At 51.9% G+C, this 12873-nt stretch overlaps 2 protein-coding genes across 11 annotated transcripts in view, besides 4 other annotated features; one reads left to right on the forward strand and one right to left on the reverse strand.

Moving 5' to 3' along the window:
* Positions 1 to 396: 396 nt before the first annotated feature.
* Positions 397 to 11465, reverse strand: DTYMK (deoxythymidylate kinase). 8 transcript variants are annotated; one of them, NM_001320905.2, is made up of 6 exons: positions 11304 to 11465; positions 10419 to 10527; positions 7449 to 7565; positions 4879 to 4969; positions 3102 to 3299; positions 397 to 887 (listed from the first exon to the last, which is right to left on the reverse strand). In NM_001320905.2, the coding sequence occupies exons 1-6, from the start codon at positions 11431 to 11433 to the stop codon at positions 777 to 779; spliced, it is 756 nt and encodes a 251-aa protein (NP_001307834.1). In that variant the 5' UTR covers positions 11434 to 11465; the 3' UTR covers positions 397 to 776. The 8 variants fall into 8 exon arrangements, 6 of the variants coding, with proteins under 6 accessions (NP_001307834.1, NP_001158503.1, NP_036277.2 ...); NR_135492.2 differs by lacking the exon at positions 7449 to 7565 and having other exon boundaries at positions 10457 to 10527; NM_001165031.2 differs by lacking the exon at positions 7449 to 7565 and having other exon boundaries at positions 3102 to 3227.
* Positions 11055 to 11364: a silencer, noted in NCBI's record as "silent region_12553". NCBI's record gives its function as "represses an Ori minimal core promoter by ATAC-STARR-seq in GM12878 lymphoblastoid cells {active_cell/tissue: GM12878}" and the evidence as "EXISTENCE:reporter gene assay evidence [ECO:0000049][PMID:35858748]".
* Positions 11412 to 11674: a silencer, noted in NCBI's record as "fragment chr2:242626177-242626439 (GRCh37/hg19 assembly coordinates)". NCBI's record gives its function as "represses an EF-1alpha promoter that drives an FKBP-Casp9 reporter gene in an ReSE screen in K562 erythroleukemia cells {active_cell/tissue: K562}" and the evidence as "EXISTENCE:reporter gene assay evidence [ECO:0000049][PMID:32094911]".
* Positions 11412 to 11954: a biological region, named in NCBI's record as "ReSE screen-validated silencer GRCh37_chr2:242626177-242626439".
* Positions 11425 to 11954: a silencer, noted in NCBI's record as "silent region_12554". NCBI's record gives its function as "represses an Ori minimal core promoter by ATAC-STARR-seq in GM12878 lymphoblastoid cells {active_cell/tissue: GM12878}" and the evidence as "EXISTENCE:reporter gene assay evidence [ECO:0000049][PMID:35858748]".
* The window catches only part of ING5 (inhibitor of growth family member 5), a 42459-nt gene continuing 41255 nt past the window's right edge, over positions 11670 to 12873 (forward strand). For all 3 annotated transcript variants that reach the window (XR_007082548.1, XM_047446012.1, NM_001330161.2), the window contains exon 1: positions 11670 to 12712. The gene's annotated coding sequence lies outside the window, so the exon portion shown is untranslated. The remainder of the gene's footprint in view (positions 12713 to 12873) is intronic.

The raw sequence follows: 12873 nt of genomic DNA on the forward strand, positions 1-12873 counted from the left end.
CACCTGAGCCCAGGAGGTCAAGGCTGCAGTGAGCCACGATCGTGCCACTGCACTCCAGCCTGGGCGACAGTGAGACCCTGTTTCCAAAAAAATAAAAAATAAAGGATAGGATGAGAAGTTAAGCTCCAGGGTTGCAATGAAAATAGCAGAGTTAACTTAGGTGAGTTCAGGACGTAAGCTGTGATGACACTCGGATATAGCCTGGCTGGACCCAGCGAGCCCAGGGCATGGCTGCAACTGTTCAGACCCACAGTGGGACTCCCTCAACTAGGCAGGAACCAGGGTCCAGGAAGGCCCTACTGGGCCCAATGAAGGCTCTTCTCTCCTGGGATGGAGGTTCCCATTCAAAGCCAGCTCCGTCCTCAGTCTAAGAAAAGTGAAGCGTTCCACAAACAATTTTCAGGTCGTTTTTTACTAGTGTCTGGAAGACATTTAGGAGAATTCCAACTGATTACCATTTACAGTGATCACAATGAAACTGCTCAGAGTTATCACTGAACTTCAGTAAGAAAATACAACAGAGTGCCATCAGGACAGGGGAGAGGGCAGGAGACTGCTCCATCGCTCTGCTCATGTCCACACTGCCAAGGTCCCCACCACGGGGGTCCCCAGTGCACCCCAGCTCCGGGGCAGAAGAGGCAGCCTGCAGATCTCTGCTGCCGGGAAAGAGCTCCTGAAGTTGTGGGGTCTGGACTCTGCTGGGGACGGGGCCTTCCGCGAGTCTCCCACCTCTCGGGGGACTGCAGGGAGAGGCGTCTCCAGTGGGCAGCCTTGGGTCACTTCCATAGCTCCCCCAGCGGCTTCTCTGTGGCAGTGCGGATGGCGTCCTCAGAGAGCACGCGGATGTCCTCATGGACAGCTTCGATGCTTTTGGAAGCATCCACCATCTGTTCCCACCGGGGTTTCAGGAGAAAAAGAGGCTCATCAGCACGTTCCAGGCTGGTCACGGGAGCCCACGCCTGTAATCCCAGCACTTTGGGAGGCCCACGAGGGAGGACTGCTTGTACCCAGGAGTTCAAGACCAGCCTGGGCTACACAGGGACACCCCGTCTCTACAAAAAATGTGGCACCACTCTACTCCAGCCTGGGTGACACAGTAACACCCTGTTTCAAAACAACACCATGTTTCGTTCTGTCCTCTGTGCTCGTGGGGATTTCACACAGGCCGGGCTCTGGAAGGCCAACCTGAACCTCCTGGCACACTGTGGTGACCTCCGGGATACCCCACACCTTTCTCTGAACCTCAACCTTGACAAGTGTCTACGGTAGTCACCCGGCATTCCTGCCACAGCCCTGATGCAGGAGAAACATGATGTGCCAACTGCCCACTCCTGCTTTAAGCCGACCTCAGCCTCGTGACCCCAACCCCGCTGAGTGCCCACTTGCAGGAGTGAGGCACAGCCCACAGCACAGCCAGACCCACCCAGCCCACCAGGTCGAGGTGACTGTCCCTCCAGCTCGCAAGCGGCGAGTCGGAAGCACAGAGGGCAGACCCTGCCCTGCCCACGCTCCTGTGGCTCCTGGGCCCTGCCTGGAAGGTGAGGAAGTTCCGCAGCAGAAGCCAGACAGCAGGACCAGTGCAACACTGGGCCTGACTCGTCCTTGCGGGGAAGATGAATTTGGTCCTAACAGCTGTGCTGCACAATGGCGTGAACGGTGCGAGGAGCGTGGGGAGGGCATAAGCCCGCAGGACAGCCTTCTCTCCACCAGAAGGCAGGCAGTGAGAGGGACTCAGAAGCGCTGGCATCTCAGCGGCATCCCGGCTTCTGCTGTCGGGTGGCACCGGACCCTTCTCAAGCTTCTGGGACAGCAAATTCTAGAAAATCTGCCAGGGGCGTAGAAGGCACTTGGAAGAATCTAACCATTTCATGAGGTGTGACCGTGACGGAAGGAGAGTGACTCCCTACACAAGGGCCACCTTCCCAGATGCCTCTCACTGGCCACTGTGCAGCCACACAGCTGTCGCCCAGAACCGCCCAAGATGAGCCTCTCCGGGCGGAATGACTGCCAGAGAGAATGCCGCACTGCCAGAAAAGGGCACTGCTATCCCACCTGCGTTCCGGGAAACGAAAAGCTGCGTGACCAGCATCATCTGCAGGCACAGCCAGTCGGGCTGGGGCGAGACCCTCGGCCCTGCTCTGGAGGAGGAGCTCAAGGGACTGAAGCTCCGCGGGCCGTGGCCACAAGCGACAGTGCTGGCGCCCGACGTGCCAGAAGCCCTGGCTGCCGCCTGGAAAGAGGCCACGTGGGCAGCGGTGGGCACGGGCGACTGGAGTCTGGGAGAGAGGTAGGGGCTGCGGTCGGGAGGAGCAGAGGCGGCCAGCCTGCGAGTCCACTGGGAGGGGAGAGTCCAGCGTCCTGGGAGCAGAGCCAGACCTGGGACTGCTGAGATTGAAGGAGGCAGGACTGAAGGGAGAGGCAGCACACAGCACCCTCCTGAACTTAGATGGCCAGGTGCTGCTGCAGGGCCCATGCCCAGCGAGAGGCCGCACCAGAGGACACAGTGGCAGGAACAGGCTGGCGCTCGTGTCTGAAGAGGGGCTGAGGATGTGGAGGATTGCGCAGACTCTCACCTGACCCACCAGACAAAGCGCCAAATGTCAACATTTAGCAAAACTCATCGGGTTAGAATTTGCTGGCACTGGCCGGGCGCGATGGCTCATGCCTATAATCCCAGCACTTTGGGAGGCCGAGGTGGGCAGATCACCTGAGGTCAGGAGTTGGAGACCAGCCTGACCAACGTGGAGAAACCCCATCTCTACAAAAAAAATTAGCCAGGCATGATGGCACGTGCCTGTAATCCCAGCTACTCGGGAGGCTGAGGCAGGAGAATCACTTGAACCCAAGAAGCGGAGGTTGCAGTGAGCTGAGATCGTGCCATTGCACTCCAGCCTGGGTTGGCACCCAGAGCAAGATTCTGTCTCAAAAAAAAAAGAATTTGCTGGCACCGAGAACCCCTGAACGACTACTCCCGGGGCTCCACATCTGGGAGGACCAGACGGAAACGGCAGCAGCTTTGCTGACACAACTGTGCCAGCCACCACGGTGTCATCCTGAGCCACTTCTCCACGCTTCCTAGTGTGCAATTCTGGGATTCTCACCTTCCAGTTCAAAGTCGTGTCTTTCATGAGCTGGTGGAAACACCGGAGCGCCCGCTCCTGGAAAGCCCCGTTCTCATAGCGCTCATGGCCAAACGCTCCCCGCTTGGCAGCATCCGCCAGCTGTAACTGGAGGAACAGGACCAGGTCGGGTTTGGGAAGGCCCACGTCTGGCTGTTTACACCAATCTAGGGAAAAATTCTGCCAAGAAAGAACCCAACAGTTAAAGCTTAGTGTAGTCTAGGTTTTTGTTTCGAAAGTCGTAAAAACAGGAAAAAATGAGGGGACATTTGGTGAGGTACCAAGATGTGAGACTGTTTATATTGTGGCTCGTTTAATTTTTAGAACCTCAAACGTGTCGGTTTCTCCAGTGTCACCTTTGTTTTTCCTTTGTAAACAGACAAGTGGACAGAAAAGTAGGTAGATAGAACGGCTGCCAGTCCCCGCCACCCACAGCCCAGGCCCCATGGAGGCCCTCCCAGCACAGCTACAGGCCTGCTGGCCAGGAGCAAACAGTCTATGTACAGAACCCCTGGAGACCCCCGGCCTAGAACGCCTGCAGCACAGAGCAGCTGGGTCCGGACACAGGCACGAGGTCCTTGGCAGTGTCTTTTCTGCCACACACACGCCAGGGTCTCCTCTCCCGTGGAAGAGCAGGAAGAAGACAGGCACTCCTAGAGCCTGTTATGTGCCAGCCTAGTCTCATCCACTGGCCCTTCTTGCCAGGGCTGTGCCAGCACCCTCTCTCCCTCCCTTACTCATCCCATCTCCCTCCAAATGCTGTCCTGTTTCCGGAGGAAAGGTAGGACCAGAAAGGCTGTGACTGCAGGCCACACATCACACAACAGCACAATGAGCTGAGGGAAGGCGTCCACGAGAACCTCCCACAGAGCCTGCGGCTCTGTCAGCTGATCCGCACAGCAGGAAGAAGCAAAGGAATCATGAGTCTTGTCCTCCTTATTATACAACGTAATACTTCAGAGGGGAAGGACTCAAGCTAACACATGAAGAAATGGCAGAATTAAAAAGTGAGGGCGTGGCCGGGCACGGTGGCTCGCGCCTGTAATCCCAGCACTTTGGGAGGCTGAAGCGGGAGGATCACTTGGGCCCAAGAGTTGTTATAGCGAGCTTTGCTTGTTCCACTGTACTCCAGCCTGGGCAACAGAGGGAGACGCCCTCTTTCAAAAAACGGGGGAAAAAAGTACTACAAATGAACCATCTTTGAAAATGCATCTGGAGGCTGGGTGCAGTGGCTCATGCCTGTAATCCTAGCACTTTGGGAGGCTGAGATGAGTGGATCACTTGAGGTCAGGAGTTTGAGACCAGCCTGGCCAACATGGTAAAACCCCGTCTCTACTAAAAGTATGAAAATTAGCTGGGCACGGTGGTGCATGCCTATAATCCCAGATACTCGGGAGACTGAGGCAGGATAATCGCTTGAACTCAGGAGGCAGAGGTTGCAATGAGCTGAGATCGTGCCACTGCACTCCAGCCTGGGTGACAGAATGAGAGACTGTCTCCCCAAAAAAAAAAAAAAAAGCGTGTGGAAAATATAATCCAAATACCAACTATGGTTCTATCTGTGAAACAATCTCTAGCTACATAAATGTTTGCTCTTCTTATTGATAAAACCAAATTAATCTAGCAAAGAGATAAAAGGAATATAAGAATCACGAAACTCTGCAGAGTAATCTGAGGCATGTCACTCGTACTCGCATTCAAGGGCAGTCCTGGGTCCACACATCTGTGCTCGCCTGACAGGAGGCCAAGTGGCACTCACCTCCTTGGCACCGGTGAAGGCCACACCAGAAAATGCGTATCTGTCCACGACGAGGGTCACGCCCTGGCTCAACTTTTCCTTAATTAACGGCCTGAAAAAGAGGATGCTCCTGAGCCCTGGTCCTGTTTCATAGGCCTTGAACTGTCAAGCTTAAATTATCCCAACAGGCTGTGCGCAGTGGCTCACCCCTATAATCCCAGCGCTTTGGGAGGCTGAGGCGGGCGGATCACAAGGTCAGGAGATCGAGACCATCCTGGCTAACATGGTGAAACCCTGTCTCTACTAATACAAAATATTAGCTGGACATGGTGGCAGGCACCTGTAATCCCAGCTACTCGGGAGGCTGAGGCAGGAGAATTGCTTGAACCCAGGAGGTGGAGGTTGCAGTGAGCCGAGATCACACCACTGCATTCCAGCCTGGGTGACACAGCGAGACTCCATCTCAAAAAAAGAAAAAGAAAATTATCCCAACAATACAACTCAGAAATCTCATATGACAACAAGTACAGCACAGTGATTTGTAACCTTACTTTTAATCCAAAAAGGTCTGGATCTTCTCTAGAAGATGCCATACCCACACCTCCAGCAAAACCCAACATGGAGAAGATAACCTTACTAAATAGTAACAAACACAACTGGTAAAGTTCAATGTTCCAGAAACACGGCAGGGGAAAGGAGATGCACTGTCAGCTGTCTTGGTCAGAGAGGCCAGCTCTACCCTGTCGAGGAAGAAGAAAGCACAGGCAAAGAAGAGAGCAGAGGATGGTGGCGGGGGAAGCGTGGGCACAGCCAGCAGGTGACTCATCCATGCTCATGACCCCTAGCCTGGACTGCAAGGATGTTCTCAGCCAAATACCACAAGTCCACCATCATCCCTACAGCTGCCAAGATCACAGATGTACAAAGACACGGGGCCTGACACTAGTGAGAAGCACTGCTCAAGACAGAGAAAGAAAAGTCCGATTCATTCGACTCAGCCAGTCTCACTGGGGCCTTCAAATCACAGGGGCACCCACATAAGGAGTCAACTGGCCTCTGACAAAGCAGCAGAGGGATGCAATGGTGCAAAGGCATTTTCCTCAATAAACGCTGCTGGAACAACTGGACATCCTCATGAAAGAGAATAAATCTAGACCAGACCGTATACCCTCCACGAACATAAATTCAAAATGAATCACAGGCCTGGCACGGTGGCTCACGCCTGTAATCCCAGCTTTCAAGGAGGCAGAGGCAGGAGGATTGCTTGAGCCCAGGAGCTCGAGACCTGCCTGGGCAATATAGTGAGACCCCGTTCTCCACAAAAAGTGGGGGAAAAAAAAGACAAAATGAATCACAGACCCAAATGTAAAATGCAAAACTATGCAACTCCTAGACAGTAACACAGGAGAAAACTTAGATCACCTGGGGTTTGGCAGACTGTTTAGATACAAAACCAAAGGCACAGCCCATGAGAGAATTGATTAAGATGGACTTCACGAAAATAATAACTTTGTGCTTTGTGAGAGACACTGTCAAGAGAAGGAAAGGACAGCCGGACGTGGTGGCTCATGCCTGTGAGCCCAGCACTTTTGGAAGCCATTTGGCGGGATGGATCCCTTGAGGCCAGGTGTTTGAGACCAGCCTGAGTAACAATAGTGAGACCCCATCTCTACAAAAAATGTAAAAATTAGCCAGGGATAGTGGCACGCACCTGTAGTCCTAGCTACTCCAGAGGCTGAGGCAGGAGGATCACTTGAACCCAGGAGTTTAAGGCTGCAGTAAGCTGTGATCATGCCACAACATTCCAGCCTGGGCAACAGAGCAAGACATTTCTCCTAAAAAAAAATAAGGCCAGGCAGGGTGGCTCATGCCTCTAATCACAGCACTTTGGGAAACCAAGGCAGGAGGACTGCTTGGGTCCAGGAGTTCAAGACCAGCCTGGGCAACAATAGTGAGACTCCATCGCTACAAAAAATTTTACAAAAATTAGCCAGGTGTGTTAACGTGCCTATAGTTGCAGCTACTTGGGAGGCTGAGGTGGGAAGATCACTTGAACCCGGGAGGTCGAGGCTGCAGTAAGCTGTGATTGCGCACTGCACTCAGCCTGCATGACACAGAGACCCTGTCTAAAAAAAGAAAAGAGAGAAAGAGAGTGAGAAAACAGAAAAGGCAAACCACAGCCTAGGAGAAAATATGTATAAAAGACACATTTTATAAAGGACTGTTATCTAAAGCATACAAAGAATTCTTAAAACTCAAAAATAAGAAATCAACCAACCCCCTTAAAAAGTGGGCCAAGGCTGGGCGTAATGGCTCATGCCTATATTCCCAACACTTTGGGAGGCGGAGGCAGGCTCATCACTTGAGCCCAGGAATTTGAGTCCAACCTGGGAAACATGGTGAAACCACATTTCCTCAAAAAATACAAAATTGGCCGGGCATGGTGGCTCGTGCCTGTAATCCCAGCACTTTGGGAGGCTAAAGCAGGTGGATCACCTGAGGTCAGGAGTTCAAGACCAGCCTGGCCAACATGACGAAACCCCATCACTAACTAAAAAATAGAAAAATTAGCCGGGCGTGGTGGTGGGCACCTGTGATCACAGCTACTTGAGAGGCTGAGGCAGGAGAATCGCTTGAACCTGCGAGGCGTAGGTTGCAGTGAGCCAAGATCGCCCCATTGCACTCCAGTCTGGGCGACAAGAATGAAACTGTCTCGAGGAAAACAAAAAAGAAATACAAAACTTAGCATGGTGGCATGCACCTGTAGTCCCAGCTACTTGGGAGGCTAAGGCAGGAGGATCGCTTGAGCCTGGGAAGTAGAGGCTGCAGTGAGCCAAGACCGTGCCACTGTACTCTAGCCTGGTTGAGACCCTGTCCCAAAAAAAAGAGTGGGCCAAAGCACTCAACAGATCCCTTACGAAACCAGATACACAGATGGCAAACAAGCATATGAAAAGATACTCCACATCATATGTCAGCAGGGAAATGCAAACTAGAACAATGAGATGCCACACACACCTATCAGAATGGCAAACATCCAAACACTGACAACACCAAATGCTGGTGAGGGTCTGGAGCAATAGCAACCCTTGTTCACTGCTGGTGAGAATGCAAGATGCTGCAGCCACTTTGGAAGACAGTTCACCACAAGCTTGTCCAACCCAAGGCCCGCAGGCTGCATGCAGCCCAACACAAATTTGTTAAGCTTTCTCAAAACGTTACGAGATTTTTTTTTTTAAGCTCATCAGCAATTGTTAGTGTATTTTATGCGTGGCCCAAGACATTTCTTCCAATGTGGCCCAGGGAAGCCAAAAGACTGGATACCCATGGTTTAGCAGTTCTTCACAAAAATTAATAGTCTTACCACATATTAAAGCAGTGGTGCTCCCTGGCATTTACCCAAAAGAAGTGAAAGCTTATGACCACACAAAATCCTGCACCAGGATGTTTATAACAGATTTATAACTGCCAAAACTTGGAAGCAACAAAGATGTCCTTTAGTAGGTAATGAACTATGGTACATCCAAACAAGGGACTATTAATTAGGGCAAAAAAGACATGAACTATTGGTCGGGCATGGTGGCTCATGCCTGTAATCCCAGCACTGTGGGAGGCCGACGTGGGAGGATCACTTGAGGTCAGGAGTTCAAGACCACCCTGGCCAACATGGTGAAACCCTGTCTCTACTAAAACATAAAAATTAGCTGTGCATGGTCGTACGCGCCTGTAATCCCAGCTACTCAGGAGGCTGAGGCAGGAGAAATGCTTGAACCCGGGAGGCGGCGGTTGCAGTGAGCCGAGACTGAGCCACTGCACTCCAACCTGAGCAACACAACGAGACTCTTGTCTCAAAAAAAACCAAAACAAAACAACAAAAAAAAACTATCAAGCCACAGTTAGACATAGAGGAAACTTAAATATCTATTAGGGAAACAAGTAACCTGTAGGAGAATAGATGGACACAAGAGACGTAGCCCTGGGTACCTGGGATAAGATTATTATCTAAAAAGTAAAATCAGGATTATTCTTCATTTTAAATTGGGCATATACGTGTTTCATCACTTTTCTACAAAGCCACAAAAAGCAAAATCAGAAGAACAATTGCCTCCATAAATTCTAGATGTGTTAAAAAGATTATTAAAAATGGTCTCATTTTCATTTAAGACTTGGAGTGGGGACAGCCTTTCCAAGCAAGACACAAAGCTAAGCCGGAGGAGAGTAATGCAGTGTTTCATGTAACACGGATGATGAGGAACCACTGAAGATTCACCAGCAGGGAACTGGCTACACGTACCGTGGTTCTAGAGACAATGCGACGACAATTAAAGAGAATGAGAAGGGCAGAGTTAGGGGATCTGTAAGTGCAGAAATCTGTAAGGCAGAGTTAGAAAGAAAGCTGCCAAATAATTTGTATGGTATGACCTCATTTATGTTAAAAAACAAAATTCTAACTATAGTAGTTTCTACATATGTATATAAATGTAAATAAAAACATTGAAAGAACACACATCAACATTAAGTGTTGAATGAAGAGGAAACCTACTACAATGATGTAAAACAAAAAAAGGTGGTAGGAGAGTTCATATAAACTCAGTTACTAATGTATCAATATTGGTTATCAATTTTAACAAATGTAACATAACACAGCACATAAATAATGGGGAAGGGGGGAAGGCAGGGGTAGTATGTAGGGAGCGCTCTACATACTCTACTTTTTGATCAGTTTTTCTATATACCTAAAGCTATCTTTAAAACATTAAGTCTATGAGGCCAGGGGTTTGAGACCAGCCTGGGCGTGATATGGTGAGACCTTGACTCTACATTAAAAAAAAAAAAAAAAATTAGCCGGGCTTGGTAGCATGCCCCTATGGCCCTAAGCTACTCAGGATGCTGAGGTGGGAGGACTGCTTGAGCCTAGGAAGTTGAGGCTGCAGTGAGCCATGATCGGGTGCCACTGCACTCCAGCCTGGGCCACAGAGCAATACCTTGTCTTAAAAATAAAAAAAAAAGGGCCAGGTACGGTGGCTCACACCTGCGTAATCCCAGAACTTTGGGAGGCCGAGGCGAGTGGATCACAAGGTCAAGAGAGACCATCCTGGCCAACATGGTGAAACCCTGTCTCTACTAAAAATACAAAAATTAAATTTAAAAATAAAGTAAATTAAAATTGCAAAAATTAGCTGAGCATGCTGGGGCGCGCCTGTAGTCCCAGCTACTCGGGAGGCTGACGCAGGAGAATCGCTTGAACCTGGGAGGCGGAGGTTGCAGTGAGCCGAGATCACACCTCTGCCTGGCGACAGAGCGGAACTCCGTCTAAAAAAACCCGAAAAACTGAAGTCTATTAGTTATGGGGTGTGGGGAGCAGGAGGACGAAACAGCATTCATTAGCGCCCTTTGGGAACTAGGGCGCTTCACCACCTCTGCCCACAGGACTGCTAAACAGAAGAACATCAGGCCCAGCACTACTGTCACTGTCATTCAGAATCGAGTGCTGCGTTCACTGAATCTCAGGAGGAAGGAAAGTGGCAAGGGCAGAGGGAGCAGTGTGCAATGGTTTTTACACTTGTTCCCAGCGATTTGCAGAAAAAAGCAGGTGCACCGAGTGATCCTCCACGTCACTTTTCTTTTGCAAGTAGGAACTCAGAAGTTTGCCGATTTCAGTTGATCTTTCTAGAAAAAAAGAGAAACACACAAAATGCAAGTGAGATCAGGCTTTCCCTCTATATTACAATATAGTTTGGACTGAATTTCTCCCGGACTCAAGTCTCACGTTGAATTTTACTTTACTAAATCTCTAGACAGGCTTGGATCTTCTGCGGAAGCCAAAGGAATTTCTCTGAGCAATAACAGCAATCTGCAAACAAGCTGGGATGAAAAATGCTTTAGGAAAAAAGAACTCGGGTAGAAAGTAGAGACTTCAAAGAAAGCATTTATAAAATTTGTGGACTGGGTGGCCAAAGATTAAGGTCAATGCTTCACTTGAAAACTTTTAAATATATGCTATAAAACCCCTGAAAGCGCGAACAGCCATCAAACAAAACACAACACCAGAAAAACCCACAAAAACGAGACATGGATTACAAAAGAGCTGGAGGAGACTTTTGGGGGAGACACCACGGTTTCGCGCGGGTTTACACGTCAGTCATCACCATACCCCGCACTTAAAGACACGCAGCGTGGACCGGGCGCGGTGGCGCGCGCCTATGTTCCCGGCTACCCGGGAGGCTGAGGCGGGAGGATCGCTTGAGCCCGGGAGGTCCAGGCTGCCGTGGGCCGAGATGGCGCCACTGCACTCCAGCCTGGGCGACACAGGGAAAGCCCGTCTTTCAAAATAAAAACCGCACAGTTCACAGCACGCCAGCCGCAGACAACGAAGCGGAGCAAAGAGCCCCTGGGAAGGCAGAGGCACCGAAGGCCGCGGCGCACCCCCCGCCGCGCGCACCCACCCGGGAACCGGAGCAGTTCGGCGCGGTGGCCCGCGGCGCACAGCGCTTCCACCAGCTTGCGGCTCTGCGTGCTCTTCCCGGCGCGGTCCACGCCCTCCAGCACTATGAGAGCCCCGCGCCGGGCCGCCATGACTGTCCACCGCCCGCCGCTGGCGTCTCCACGCAGCCTTCCGGAGCTCCCATTGGCCGGCGTCAACAGCGCGCGCCGTGATTAGCTAGTATTTCCCGGCCTCGGCCAAATTCGAAGGGATTGGCCGGGGCCGGGGCGAGGACGACGCGCGGTGGGACCGACACCCGCGCCTGCGCCCTGGGCCGCGCCGCCACTGGAGCCGTGTCCTGGGCTTCCGGGGCGGAAACTGGGGCCCCGTGTCCCGTGCGGGCCTCCGTCCTCGGGCGAGCAGGGCCCTTCGCTCCGGGAGGGGAGGTGACGCGGCGCGGGCTGGACGGCCGGAGACGCGGGGTCAGGGCGCGGACGAGGGGAGCGCAGGGTCGGAGGGGCTCCCGGACGCTGCCCGCCCAGCGTCGGCTCTCGTTGGCCCCTGGCTGCGCGCAGCGGGCCCGACTCTCAGGGCCCTGCGGTGCCCGCTGCCAGCGTGAGGGCTCCGGTCACGCGGCGCGCGAGACGAACGAGCGAGATGCTTCCCGAAGCGCGGGGCCCAGTGCAGGGGCTCAGCCGGGGCTCCTCCCAAAGCTCACCTGGAGCCCAGCACGACTGCGTTCTGGAAACGCTGTGTTTGACAGCAGGGGCAGGATGGGGGGCTGTGTAGACGCTGGCCACGTGGCAATTGTAGGAGAACCATGGGATCGATAAATGTTCACTGTTGTCCCTGAAGCGCAAAACTGCAGGGCTCTGGAAAGTCCGTGTGTGTGTTTTTGTTGTTTTTGTTTGTTTGAGACAGAGTCTCGCTCTGTCACCCAGGCTGGAGTGCGGTGGCGCGATCTCTGCTCACTGCAACCTCCGCCTCCCGGGTTCAAGCGATTCTCCTGCCTCAGCCTCCCGAGTAGCTGGGACTGCAGGCGGCCGCCACGACGCCCGGCTAATTTTTTGTATTTTTAGTAGAGACGGGGTTTCACCGTGTTAGCCAGGATGGTCTTGATCTGACCTCGTGATCTGCCCGCCTCGGCCTCCCAGAGTGCTGGGATTACAGGCGTGAGCCACCGCGCCTGGCCGAAAAGTCCGTTTTAAAAGATGATGTATACAAATTATAGCACGGAGAGGGAACGGGCAAGTTGTTTCCTCTTTCCATGCCTCCAACTCCTCTGAAATGTGGGTCATGATGATAATAGGAAAAACTGTCTCTGCCATAGAGAGGTGGAAAAAGTCCCGCGAAGTGTCCCCGGTATCTAGAAAGCGCTCAGTAGTGTTTGCTGTTATCTTAGGGATATCAGGCTGCCTGGACATTTCTCAGGTGAGACTTTTTGTTATTTTAGATATCTAAAATACTACTATCTATATGTGCCATATTGTCAGTTGTCAGCTAGACATCACTTTCTCTGCTTAGCAGAAGAAATGGTAGGAACTGCATTTCCCAGAATCATCTGTGTAGCCCTGGATTACAGTCTACCAGAC

This window comes from Homo sapiens, chromosome 2 (assembly GCF_000001405.40).
Source record: "Homo sapiens chromosome 2, GRCh38.p14 Primary Assembly".
Classification (NCBI taxonomy): domain Eukaryota; kingdom Metazoa; phylum Chordata; class Mammalia; order Primates; family Hominidae; genus Homo; species Homo sapiens.

Excerpts from the sequence above, each read along its gene's own strand:
- DTYMK (NM_001320905.2), bottom strand. The coding sequence starts at position 11,433 with ATGGCGGCCCGGCGCGGGGCTCTCATAGTGCTGGAGGGCGTGGACCGC. Across the intron at positions 7,566-10,418 it reads GCAAATCGCTGGGAACAAGT|TTTCATTCTTGTCGCCCAGA; the intron begins GTAAAAACCATT and ends TCCTCGAGACAG. Across the intron at positions 4,970-7,448 it reads TCAAGTAGCTGTGATCACAG|GCCGTTAATTAAGGAAAAGT; the intron begins GTGCCCACCACC and ends CCTCTTTTTCAG.